Here is a 14,315-nt window from a genome sequence, read left to right on the forward strand (position 1 = left end):
CCACACTAATAAATGTGTCCTATACTGGTTAAAGTACACTAAGTCATATGAATAAGAAAGCTCATTGATGCATTGTATATATTAGCAAAAAAGCAAAGTAGACAGACAAAAACTAGGAACAATTTGTATATCTACCAGTAAGAAACATATGTCTATATAATGGACGTGGTACAGTCTGTTAAGAGAATAATGTGGATCCATTTGTCCTAACAGAAAGATCTCCAAAATACCCAGAAGATGCTCACTTAATGGGTCTTCACTTAACAGACTTACCACATCGTGTGATGCTTAGTCCCTACAGAAAATACACCACGTGATGAACATGGCCTACTCTCTGGCATTCCAGGACCCTTCTCCTACAAGTTGAGTAGGGGGCTTAGCAGGAGCAATTGTGTTTGTCGCCAGGCCTGGTTACTCAAGTTGCATTTGTTATTTTTTATTCATAACTAAATACTACGAAAGAACTAATTGAGCATGAGTACAAAATAAGAGTCAGTTCTCTGAAAGCTAAGGGAAATGCTTTGAAAATACTCAACATAAGTGAGTTTTTACCAAAAACCAAAATGATGTTAAAATAGATGTGAGGTGACTGTGAAAGACGGCAGGCAGGAGTGATCTGGGGAGGTTTCTACTCTCAGATATCTTGCAAAATATCTTTAAATTCTCATTCCAACTTCGGGAAAGAAACGTAAACCACAAATTGTAGATTACGCATTACTCATTACAGGTATGGTTTTGACTGACAGTAATATGGGACTCCAATTAGCTGATGCATCCTCATAAAAGAAGAGCCTTAATATCACATTAAAAGTTCATCCACAGATACCTATGAGCTTAAAGATGGATTTTGTAGGTGCAATAATATTGTTATTACGTTCATTTGTTTGAATTTTTACCTTTTAGAGATGCAGGCTGAAATATTAGGGAATGAGTAAAATTACATCTGAGATTGGCTTCAAAGTAATAATGCAGGCCAGGTGAGGTGGCTCACACCTGTAATCCCAGCACTTTGAGAGGCCAAGGTGGGATCACTTGAGGTCAGGAGTTCAAGACCAGCCTGACCAACATGGTGAAACCCCATCTTTACTAAAAAAATACAAAATTAGCTGGGCGTGGTGGTGCACACCTGTAATCCCTGCTATTTGGGAGGCTGAGGCAGGAGAATCGCTTGAACCTGGGAAGCGGAGGTTGCAGTGAGCCAAGATCACACCACTGCCCTCTAGCCTGGGTGACAAGAGTGGAACACCACCTCAAAAATAAAAGTGATAACAGTGGGAGGGCAGATACAGATGAAACAAACTTGGCTGTGATTTGGTAATTTTTGAAGCTGAATGATGGGCCCATGAGGGTTTATTATACTATTCTGCCTAATTTTTGTATATGTTTAATATTTTCCATAATAAAAAGTAGAAAAAAAGTCAGAATAATATGTGTTTATATATCATAAATTAGAATAAAATGTTTAAAGTATGCATATATAATTTTTATAACTACTCTCTTAACCTGCTCTTTAAAATTAACCAGCAGTGACAGCATCAGATAAAAGGGTTTTGGCTATATCATTTTTTTAAGGGTATAGATACAGTATGATTGTATTATACTTAAATATGCTGGTAGATGTATCTGTAGTGATGTCAGTTTTACCCCAACACAAGGAAACATCACAGCACTTTTCTAAAATCAAATTTAATTTACTCCAAGTCCCCATCCCACCAGTGATAAAAGTGTTCATCTCAAGCATTCCAGAGTTTCTTCTCACTCCATCTAGTGGGCATTCACTAAGGGAAATTATCATTGCTCTCTTCCTCTTCCTCCTCCTCCTCCTCCTCTTCCTGGTCAAGATAGTAACAAAACAACAAAACTCTACCATAGAAACAGACCCCATTCCTTTATCCTGGTGCCAGAAGTCACCACTGCCCCTCCACAACTCAAGCTCCCAAATAACTGCCTCCCTGCTCCCTTCTCTCTGTCCCCAGCCTTCACGCCAGGCACATACAGGGATGTAACTGACCTCCGTGAGGCTGACAAAGGCAGGTCAGGGCATTCTGTCCAGGCACTTCTCAAGCATCTCCATGGACCTCAATCTCCCTGTACAAGAGTCCAGCCCTGCCCTGCCACAGAGAGAAGCGGAGGACAGCCCACCTTCTTCTGAAAAAAGATACAGCAACTGAACCTGCCTTTACATCCATCCTGGCTGGATGGTACATCTTCTCTAACACCCTGCTGATATAGTTTGGCTCTGTGTCCCCACCCAAATCTCATGTCGAATTGTAATCCCTACATGTTGCAGGAGGGACCTGGAGGGAGGTGACTGGATCATAAGATTGGATTTCCACCATGCTGTTCTCATGATAGTGAGTGAGTTCTCACAAGATCTGGTTGTTTAAAAGTGTGTAGCACATCCCCCTTCACTCTCTCTCTTCTACTGCCATGTGAATACATGCTTGCTTCCCCTTTGCCCTTCTGCTATGATTGTATGTTTCCTGAGGCCTCCCCAGCCATGCCTCCTGTACAGCCTGTGGAACTGTGAGTCAACTAAACCACTTTTCTTTTTAAATTACCCAGTCTCAGATAGTTCTTTATAGCAGTGTGAGAATGAACTAATACACCTGCCTCATCCCAAGTTTGCCCTTCTCCAGAAAAGGTGGCTAACTCAGAAAGCTCTTGTCACTTTGAAGTAAGTGAAGCTCTTCCATTTCTGGAGTCTTGAGGGCCCTCCCTTCTGAAAGCTTGTCTGTCCCTAAGCATCTCTCCTAATTACCTTTTTTTAGTCAAATTTTGGTGGGGTTTTTTTTTTTTATCATTGATAGTTTAGAGAAGTTCCTTTCAGCTTCACAATTTATTATCAGTATTATCATCCACACCTTCAGAATGTCAGAAGCATCTGAACCAGAGTGACTCCATCTAGAATAGGGGCTGTGAAAATGAGGCTGAGACCTGCTGGGTTGCAATCCCCAGAGATTAGGCATTCTTAGCCACAGAATGACATAGGAGGTCAGCACAAGATAGTTCATAAACACTCTGCTAACAAAACAGGATACGGTAAAGAAGTCACCCAAAACCATCTCCAAGATGATTAGGAAAATGACCTCTGGTTGTCCTTACTGCTCGTTATACACTAATTATAATGCATTAGCATGCCAAAAGACACTCCCACCAGCGCCATGACAGTTTACAAATGCCTTGGCAACATCGGGAAGTTAGCCTATATGATCTAAAAAAGGACCCTCAGTTCCATGAATTGCCTGCCCCTTTCCTGGAAAACTCATGAATAATCCACCCCTTGTTTAGCATATGACCATGAAATAACCACAAAAATAGCCAACCAGCAGCCCTTGGGGCTGCTCTGCCAATGGAGTAGCCACTCTTTTGTTTCTTTACTTACTCAATAAATTTGCTTTCATTTTACTCTATGGACTCGCCCCAAGTTCTTTCTTGTGCGATATCCAAGAACCCTCTTTTGGAGTCTGGATCAAGACCCCTTTCCAGCAACAAGAATTGTTAGCAAACTGGGGAAAACTTTTATTCAGATTCTTTCATATATCAGCAGAAAAATGTCAAGACATTTCAATTTTTCTTAAGTGTACCATTCAGTGGTTTTTATTATATTCCCTAATTATCTTTGAAATGCATTTCTTTGAGGCTTTGGGCTATGATTTCTAAGACTCTTCAATTAAATTGCTAATTCCCTGGGAGAAGAAGATGCAAGGCCATCATCTTTCTTGGAAGTAGACTTTGGTTTGGGGAGTAGGGGCAGAAAGGGAACTCCCATGTGCTGAATGTCTGCTGTGTGCCATGCTAAGGAGACCCTTTCATCACATTTCAATTAACTATAGACCGGGGCACTCTCCTCCTCTAAATCATTCAAAGACCAGGCTGACAGAGACCTTATCAGCTTTAACCCTGGGTGTCATGGAGGTGAGTTGGTGGGAGGTTCCCATGGGTGGTTTACAGTGCTGGGAGGTAGCTCTCACTTATCCACCTGGTTTGGAGTATGAGAGGAAGCTACTTAGTTGCATGTGGTGTGGCTGTACAGGTCAGGTGCTCCCTTTCACGGGAGGCTTTCCAGGGCCACCAGCTTGTGCTGTGGCTGTGTGCCCCAGGACCATGGACAGCCCATGATTCAGGCAGTGGGAGCTTTGCTAGCCACTGCTACGCAGAGCACTAGACAGCTGAGGTCATGTCTGGGGTTCCTGGACCCACTTATATATTTTTTAAAAATCTATTTAGAAAGTTTCCAGGCCAGGCATGGTGGCTCACACCTGTAATCCTAGTACTTTGGGAGGCCGAGGTGGGCAGATCACTTGATGTCAGGAGATCGAGACCATCGTGGCCAACACGGTGAAACCCCATCTCTACTAAAAATACAAAAAAAATTAGCCGTGCCTGGTGGCAGGTGCCTGTAATCCCAGCTACTTGGGAGGCTGAGGCAGGAGAATTGCTTGAACCCTGGAGGTGGAGGTTGCAGTGAGCTGAGATCACGCCACTGCACTGTAGCCTGGGTGACAGAGCAAGACTGTCTAAAAAAAAAAAGAAAGAAAGAAAAAGAAAGTTCCCCTTATTTGCTTTGTTTATTTGCAGGACTTGGCTAGAAGTAGGTCCCCAAAAATATCATAGCTGTTACTATTACTGCTGCTGTTATTCCCCCTTTTCCACTCTTCTTTCCCCTCCTCTCATGAAAGCCCTTCTAACCGCAAAGGTGAACTGGCTCCTCTCTGCCTTCCCACTATTCATTTAGGCTGCGAATCAGCAGATGTTCCTGGAGATCAAGGGTGGGGACAGGGACTTTGAACATGGATGCCAGCAGGAGAGGCATCCCGCCGACCTCCACCGCCTGGGGCCACCACCTGGTGCCATGGAAAGAACCATGCTTTTAAAGCGCACAGCGGTGGCCTGGCCTGGTTCTCTGGTTCTCCTATTTATTGTCTACAAATGCTAGCTTAGCCGAGTCACTTCTCCTTGCTAGATTTCAGTTTCTCCTTCCTGGAAAAGAAGAAGATTGGACTAGATAGGATCTACTTTTCAGCCTTTTCATTCAGCAGGTATTTTGAGAGGGCCTGTTGTGTGCATGGCCCCGGTCTAAGCAGTAGGTTGGGTAGAGCCGTGAGTGAGGCACACCAAGTCTTACCAGCTTTCTGATTAGCAGAACATTCTAGCAGCCTAGGTTCTTGGATTTCTGAGGGTCCTTGGTGCATTTCTCCAGCTCCTGAGGCCTCGCTCCTGGTTTCTGCTTGGGGGTACTTCCAGCTTCTGAGCCAAAGATACTGAGACCAGCCTTGGGTGGTCTGCCCTTTGCAAAGAAATTCACAGCTCACCAGGGTCAGGGGGTAAATGTGACCAAACCCCAGTCACTCACTGCCTACCTCCCTCTCTGCCCCACAATGGGGATGCTGACGGGGCTGGGCACAATGTAGTGAATTCTTATAATTTATGCTGCCTCAGGATCCATTTTGGTTTTTGTTGTTGGTTTTGTTTTTGTTTGTTTGTTTGTTTGTTGAGATGGAGTCTCGCTCTGTCACCCAGGCTAGAGTGCAGTGGTGCAATCTTGGCTCACTGCAACCTCCATTTCCTGGGTTCAAGTGATTCTCCTGCCTCAGCCTCCCGAGTAGCTGGGATTACAGGTGCCCGTCACCATGCCTGGCTAATTTTTGTATTTTTAGTAGACACAGGGTTTCACCATGTTGCCCAGGCTGGTCTCGAACTCCTGACCTCAAGTGACCCACCCTCGGCATCCATTTTAAATATAAGCTTACTTTTCTCACACCAGAAGCAGGGCTCAGTTATCCTTGACACAGTCTCTCCTGCTACACCTCCCCGCCGTCCTTCAATGTCATACACAGCTGCTCCCTGGTGCTCACCTCCCCACGGGACAGCTAGAGACAACCTATTCAGCCCGCTAACTTTCACCCCCTACACAGACTGCAGATATGCCACAGTGACCCCCTCTCAGTCACAGCATGACCTCCTGGAACTCATGCCTGCTTGCTCTTTTGCATTTAAACCCACCAATTAAAATTCCCTATGGGAAATGTGCATGGATAATGCCCTGGGCTTCAATAAAAGCCCTGATGCATAGGGGGCCCCCCACTTTCTCTTTCTTTGTGCACCCCCTGATCATTCCCTCTCTGTTGTGGAGGAGGGGCTCTAGGCATGCCGTGAACTTCCCAAGACCTGTAAGTAATAAAACCTTTATTTCTATCTTGTGTCTCTCCTAATCGTTGAAGGGGCAACCTCTATTATAAAGACCTGAAATTAAAACACATGGGAAGCAGTGGCTCTGAGCTTGGGGAGCCAGGTTCCTGACTGTCAAGCCCTTGCCACAGCCAAGAGGTTGCTCAGGGGCTGCCAGGGGTGGGTGCAGATTCCCACACAGTTACCTAGGAGAAAGGCATCAAGAGGGATAGAAGGAATGTACTCCGGGAAGGCCAGCTTCAAGGGCATGAGGTCATGAGCCACCCAGACTGAGGACAGCCCTATGGGGACAGACAGATGACAGAGTGGGTCCTGAAAAACTGTTCTTGTATCCACTGTAATGGGCTGGCTAGCTTGTGGCCAACCCAAATTTCTCAGGCATGCACCAAGAAGAATGGACCCAATGAATAAAAGCTGTGGCAGCCAGATCTCAGAGCACAAAATCCAACTCATGCCAAATTCATATCCGCTGTACATTTAGAAGGACCATAGCATCGCAGTCAAGATCATAAGCATTGCGGCCGCTTGCCTGGGTTCAGATTCTGGCTTTACCACCTGCTAGCTGTGTGATTCTGGACAAGTTACTTAACCTCTCTGTGCCTCAGTTTTCTCATCTACAAAACAGAGATAATAATAATAACTCCCACCTAATAGGGTTGACAGAAGAGAGACAGACCCTCTCATATTGTCTTATATTGTTTTATACTCAGTACCTGTTTTAAGAAAAAACAACAAGGAAGTAAAACCAAAGACAGGCAGCCCGGCGCCAGGCCCGAAACCTGGCTTGGGCCTGCCTGGCCTAAAGCCAGTAGTTAAAAATCAACTCATAACTTAGAAACCGATGTTATTCATAGATTCCAGACATTGTATAGAAGAACATTATGAAACTCCCTGCCCTGTTCTGTTTCTGTCTGACCACCTGTGCATGCAGCCCCTGTCACATACCGCCTGCTTACTCAAATCAATCACGACCCTTTCATGTGAAATCTTTAGTGTTGTGAGCCCTTAAAAGGGACAGAAATTGTGCATTCAGGGAGCTCGGATTTTGAGGCAGTAGCTTGCCGATGCTCCCAGCTGAATAAAGCCCTTCCTTCTACAACTCAGTGTCTGAGAGGTTTTGTCTGTGGCTCGTCCTGCTCCAGGGTTATGGTGAGAATCAAATTGCTATTATATTGTATTAGAACAGTGAACAGCACATAGTCAACGCCACCACATAAGTGGTGTTGCTACTTCTTTGTGACAATCACCCCTTATTTTATGTAGCATATAAAGCTTACAAATTCCCTCCAAATTCATTGTTTGAAACACAAACTTGTTGACTTTGTTCATTCATCCACTAGATTGTAAGTGTTATGCAGGTAGGGAAATGTTAGTTGTTTTATTCACTACTGTGTCCTTGAAGCCCATGACAGTGCCTGACACAAAGTAGTTGCTCAATAAATATTTGTTGATTAGATGGATAGATAGATGGGTGGATGAATTCAACAAACATTTATAGAAGCCTATTATATGCCAGGCACTGAGGATTCAAAGGTTAAAAACCGTGGTACTTGCCCTTTGAAAAAGACTTGAATTGACTCATAATTCACTTCTATAATGATGAAATGCATTACTCTGGAATTATCAGCCATGAGAGTGGTGGTACTCAGTGCTGATTTTGCCCCCATAACCTGAGGAACTAGACACAACTCAAGCAGGGATAGTGGCCCTACATCAGGGAGCCTTCCCCCAAAAGGCTGGAGGGAGGGAATGGTAGGCACGTGCCCTGAAAATCACTGTCTTGTTGGCTCTGTTGGCGATATGAATGTCTATCATCTATCTGGTACTATGATGGTTTTTTGTTTTTTTTTTTTTGAGGCAGAGTCTCGCTCTCGCCCAGGCTGGAGTGCAGTGGCGTGATCTTGGCTCACTGCAAGCTCCGCCTCCTGGGTTCACGCCATTCTCCTGCCTCACCCTCCCAAGTAGCTGGGACTACAGGCGCCCGCTACTATGCCCAGCTAATTATTTTGTATTTTTAGTAGAGACGGGGTTTCACCATGTTAGCCAGGATGGTCTTGATCTCCTGACCTCGTGATCTGCCCGCCTCGGCCTCCCAAAGTGCTGGGATTACAGGCGTGAGCCACCACGCCCAGCCCTATGATGGATTTTGTTTTGTTTTTTACTATTGTGTCTTAAATGAACTGGTTCCACATTTCCATGTCATCCTCTCTGCCCTCATCTTTTAAAGTCTATTTAAAAAACAGACTTCCCAAAAAGCTGTGGCCTGAGCTTTTTGTATCATCTATAACACACTGTCCCATACTGTCATTATGTCCAATAGAGTTTTCATACAGTGAATCTGAACAAATCCCTCTCTCCCTAGACACAGTAGGAGGGAATGGTAGAAGATTCCCTTTCCCCACATCATTGCTCCTCTTGTTTTTTGGCATTGTGGGTAAAGCAGGGACTTGGGAATTGAGGCTTGAGTTTAAATTCCAGGTGTGCATTAAGTAAATAAAAATCAAAACTACAAGGAGATACCACTTCACAGTCTCTAGGATGACTGAAACAAAAAGACAGACGATGAGTGTTCGCAAGGATGTAGAGAAGCTGGAACCCTCAGACATTGTTTGTGGGAATGTACAATGCTACAGCTGCATGGAAACCAATCTGACAGTTTCTCAAAAAGTTAAACATGAAGTTACCGTAGGACCCAGGTATATACCACTCCTAGGTATATACCCAAGAGAAATGAGAACATGTACTTCCACACAGAAATCTATACACAAATGTTCATAGCAGTGTTATTCATAATAGCCAAAAAGTGGAAACAATCCAAATGTCAATCAACTGAGGAATGGATAATTAAAACTTGGTATATCCATACGACAGAAGATAATCATTCATCCCTAAAAAGGAATGAAGTTCTGATACATGGATTGACCTTGAAAATATTATGCTAAGTGAAAGAAGCCAGACACAAAAGGCCACATGTGATTCCATTTCTATGAGATGCCCAGAATAGGCCAATTCACAGAGACAGAAAGGAGATAGTGGTTTCCAGAAGGAAAGCCATCCCCAAAATGCATCTGGTTTAAACATGGTCATCTTATTAAGTTCTTACCATAGCCTGGAAAAAAAAATACAATTCTATTTAAAACTCACCAGGGATTGCCTGGTTAAAGGATTCATTATAGAAACTCTTCCTGTGTTAAGAGCATAATTACCTACTAATTTACCTTCCACTCCTCCGGCCTAATTTTCCCATCATGAACTTGTTTCAAGCCAGCTGTTGCTGTATTCTGACATAGGTGCTGTGCTTAGTATGAGTGGGCATCATGCTGCTGACCGCCTGCTGGTGAAAACGTTTCAAAGCATTCTGCCAAGTTTTAAACAAAGCCTCAAATGAAACCTGCCTCTCTGACTGTATCACTCTCAGTGATAAATTGGCTTCCCCCACCCCCCCCCACCTTCTTTTGAAGGTGTCCCTGAACGAAATCAAATAATAACAGGCTCCATCTCAAAAGCCCAAGTAAGGAGGCAGACAATAATCTTTCATCAGAATCCTATTTTTCAAACCAACATTTAGCCTGCATAAAGCTCTCAATGGGGCAAGACCCGGAAGCAGGGTGATGGGGAGAAGAGCAAGGCCCAGAGGACAGTTTGGAGGCAGAAGCTCAATAGTGGAGTGTACTCCTCCTGCCAGGCCGACAGGTGCTTCCCGTGGAAGGAGCTGATGCCAGCATGAACCCCTTCCCTTCCCTGGATGATGGCTGGTGAAAGGCAACGCCTGACAAATCCTCCAGGAATAGAAGAATCCTGTAGGGGCCAATGGATTGAATGGAAGGAATGCTACAGCACCAAGGAGCCTAGCAATTGTTCTCCAACCAGAAAACTTGTTTTACAAATTGGGGAACAGCATTTGTGGTGAGGAAAGGGAGAGTCTTCCCCCCAGGCCACAGGAGATGGCAGGGAAAGAAACAATCAAGAGCTAAGCCACCTGTGGGGATTTGTAGTGGGGCCCACAAGGGCCATTAGCGGGAAACACAGTGCGAGGCTGTTTACCTCTCAGTTCATCCCCAAGCCTTCTGATTGTCTTAAAGAAAAAGCCTTATTTGGAGGTGGTCTCTCTTTAGGATTGAACATTTGCTATCTCAATTTTGACATGGACCACGACACCGGCAGTAGTTCCAAGCTAGGATGAACACTGGTTGAGTTTGCTGTGGTGGGTGTAGTGATTGTTAAGGGTTATCCTCTATTTATGATTCATGATTATTCTTTCTTTCCCTTATGATATTGATTTCAAGTTTTCCTTAATCATATAGCTATTTGTGTCCAAAACGTGGTCACAGATAGGTCAAAAATCTGAAAGAGGAGTGAGAAACACTAATCTAGTCGAAACCTATACTAATGGTGTGAATCGCCAATCCATTCCTCTTTTGAAACACACACACACACACACACACACACACACACGCACGCACGCTCTCAAGGGGCCTTTACCCAGTGAACCAAAAAGGTTTCCCTTTCCACATGTGTTCCATGAGGAGATTCCCTGCCTATCACTTTCTTGCCTTGCCAAGGTGCATTTTCATGGATCCCTGTGTTCTCCCTGCTGCCAGAAGTGTCCCTGGTCCCCTCCCATACTGAGCCTGCTTCCTCCCCATCAGCTTCAGGAACGCTGCTCCCTCCTGCAACTCTGGGGGTCAGCTCCCAGTTGCATCCTTCCTGAGTCCCATCCTCCCAGCTGCAGTGTCCTCAGCCGCCCACTCTCCCGCTTCCTGGGATCCAGGTCACAAGGCCCTTTGCTTTCATCTGGGTTTAGCTGCCTATCAGTACACACTGAAGTGATCACAACCAGCAGGCATTGGGAAGTAATAGTTCCCAAGCTGAGCAGACAAGTCCCCTCCTGCTGGGCACTGGAGTCATCCCCCACCCTTTGATGGCTCAGGAAGACTCCAGCACTGCACTGCGACACTTATCCCTCTCTGCTCCTTCCTCCCACCTCACTCCAGTGGGGCCCCTTTCTTCACCCAGGAAAAGTCAGTTCAGGTCCTTCCCCACCAGCTCAAAAGTCCCTAGAATCGCAGTTCCTTTCCTCCTGGTTGGCTCTCAGCACACAGGTGCCTTCTCTGGCCACCCCCAGGGATGGTAGGACTGGGAGGGGCTGGCCTGGGGGCAGCTGGGAGCACTTAGGATTTTCCAAGCTTTGGTGTAGCATCTCTGCAAACAGGTGGGTTGGGCTTTTCCTTCTAGAAACTTTTTTCATCTCCACTGAAGCATAAAGGTAAAGTGTGATTCTTTACCCCTTTCCAGAATTTTAAGCCAAAAGCTCAGAGCTCCCACTTTGCAGCTTACATTTGATTCAAATCATGCAATCCCCACTCCAGGATCAGGACCACCAGTCACCAAGCAGCCTGGGTGGATATGGCCTTAGACTGTATCCTCAGGGCCAACTCCAGCTCGGAGGACAGTCCTTAGAAGGTGGCAGCCTCTCTCTCCTGCCCCCTGCCATCCACCTGGCTACCCTGCAAACAGTGGCTGAAAGCCTGCATTGAGAATGCCAGTCATACACTCCTAGAAAGGGACACAGTGGGGACTATGGCCTGAATATCTGTGTCTCTCTAAAATTCCCATGTTGAAACCTAATCACCAAGGTGTTGGAATTAGTATTCGAACATAGGGCTTTGGAGAGGTGACTAGGTCCTGAGGGCTTCTCCTTCATGAATGGGATTAATTACCTTATAGAAGAGGTTCGAGGTTGTTCACCCCTTTGCCTTTTGCCCTTTTGCCTTGTGCAGACACAGCAAGGGGGAAGCAGGGGGCAGCCCTTGCCAGACACCTAATCTGCTGGGGCCCTGGTCTTTATAAATTACCCAGTCTCAGACATTTTGTTATTTTGTTATAGCAGCAGGAACACACTAAGACAGAGAGAAATATGTCCAGCCCTTTCCCAATGGGTCAGATCTAAACAGAGGAAAGTGGAATAGTGTAGAGGAAAGTGGCTCCCCAAAGGCAGGCCATCTTCAAGCCCCAAAGACTGGCTGAAGCCTAGGTTGCCTTTTAGATGTAGGAACACCCAGTGAACTGAGGAGAGAGGCTGGAAATTGTTAGTCCCAAGACTCTCTGGTGAAAAATGGTGCAAGCTTTCAGGGGACCCTTAGAAATGCCAATCAAAGTCTTTCACATACACAGAAAGCTAATTTATGGCTAAAAGAATGATCAAAACAGCAGTTTCCTCTGGAAATGGGGGTAGAGACTGAATTAGAATGGGACATGAAAGAACTTTCCAGGGTGATGGCAAGATTCTGTACCTTGATTTTGTGTGTTGCATTGTAAGTTTTATCTCAAAAGAAAAAAAACTGTAAACAAATATTAAATTATAGAGCAGTGCAGTCTAATAGAATGTTCTGCAGCAATGAAAATGTTCTACGTCTGTTTTGTCCAAAGGCTAGCCACTAGCCACCTGTGGCCATGGAGCACTGGAAATCTGGCAACTGAATTCAGTGCTATTTCACACAGACTCTCACCCTATGGCTTGGGCAGGGCCATGGTGATTTCTCATAAATACAAAGGGGCATTCTTGGGCACACAGTGGTTAAGGGACTCAACCAAAGTCACACACAGCAGCAAGATGGCCAAAGCTGGAAGTCTCTGAACCTCCCACTTCTCAGGAGTGAGCTTGTTCCCCTCACCTCCCAGGGAGAGACCCCTTAGAACTGAAGTAAAGAGAGCTCACTGAAGGGTAGAAAAGCCTGAGAGCCTCGGCAGATGCTAGAAATCCCGAACTCTCGGCTCAGAGAGGGCACACTTCCCTTCCTGAAAGAGGACAGCTTTGGTCTAACAATGATACTCTAGTCCGTTTTTACACTTTATATTTTAGAAAGCTCTTTCACACGCCCACAGTCTCTCACTTCATCCTCACAGCCTGGAAGAGATCCTCCCTTCCTCCCTTCCCACCTCCCTCCCTCCCTCCTTTCTTCCAAGTGGTGGGCAACAAGTAACGACTAAGGGTAAAACGTTTAGGCTTTGGAGTTGGACTTCCAGGGCTTGATTTCGAGTTCCCAAGCAGATGACTTTATAAAATGGTGCATTTTAACCTTTCTGTGTCTCTGTCAACTTGCAAAATAGGAATAATAATAGTATTTGCCTTGCTGGGATGGCAAGAGAATTAAATAAAATAATCCATACCAAACCCCCTATCATCATCATCATCATCATCATCATCATCATCAACTTATTTATTGAGCTATGTACATGTCAAAGTTGGAGCAGGAGCTGAGGCGAGGGGCAAGTTCAGAAGCCCACAGGAGGCAGAGTCCTGATGAACTGAACTGAGCTGGGGTGGCTGAGACTTCACACTAAGGGAGGGCGGGTTGCCAACACGCTCTCCCCTCAGCCAGAGCAAGCACCTCAGCTCCAAATTGTTTGCTCTCAAAGAGGGATTGCCTTTTGCTCACAAATCTCTCACCTGCAAAAGGTCTGCTTCCTGAGCCAACTAGGAGATAAATCACTAGGATCATCATCATCTTTCATGTTCCATCTCCCTTTGCCCAGCAAGCCCCACAATGGCCTCTTCTATTTAGAGGCTGCAGCCGAAGACAGAAGGAAGATGCACAGGATCAAATTAATGTTGGGAAAAAGGACTTCTGGCCTCCTATCTTCTACTAGCCTATTAGGTTGAGAGATGGAAAAACCAAAACTGTGTGTGTGTGTGTGTGTGTGTGTGTGTGTGTGTGAGAGAGAGAGAGAGAGAGAGCATTTACATTTGCAGAACATTATACTTACAAGCTAAGTTGATCCTTATAAATGCCTAGAAGGGCAGATATTTTTTCTTCCTACTTTTTGAGATAAAGAATTGAGTCAGAGAGGGGTAAACAAACTACCCAGGAGCAGCTGTATTAAAACTCGTTGTGAGTTAGCATCATCCCATCAATTATTAGATGTCTGAAATGTTGCTTGGAAAGAAAGCACCACCTTTGATCAGGAAGGTCATTGCTGAAGTCACAGCCAGGCATCTGTCCAACAGGGTCCCACTGGCCTCTTTTTCTTTGGTCCCATCCTCAGGCATTGCCGATCTGCCATCCCTTCTAGAACAACCTCCCCCAATTGATGCATGGCATATTAAATGCTGGCGGGCAGAC

The sequence above is a fragment of the Homo sapiens genome, chromosome 10 (assembly GCF_000001405.40).
Source record: "Homo sapiens chromosome 10, GRCh38.p14 Primary Assembly".
Classification (NCBI taxonomy): domain Eukaryota; kingdom Metazoa; phylum Chordata; class Mammalia; order Primates; family Hominidae; genus Homo; species Homo sapiens.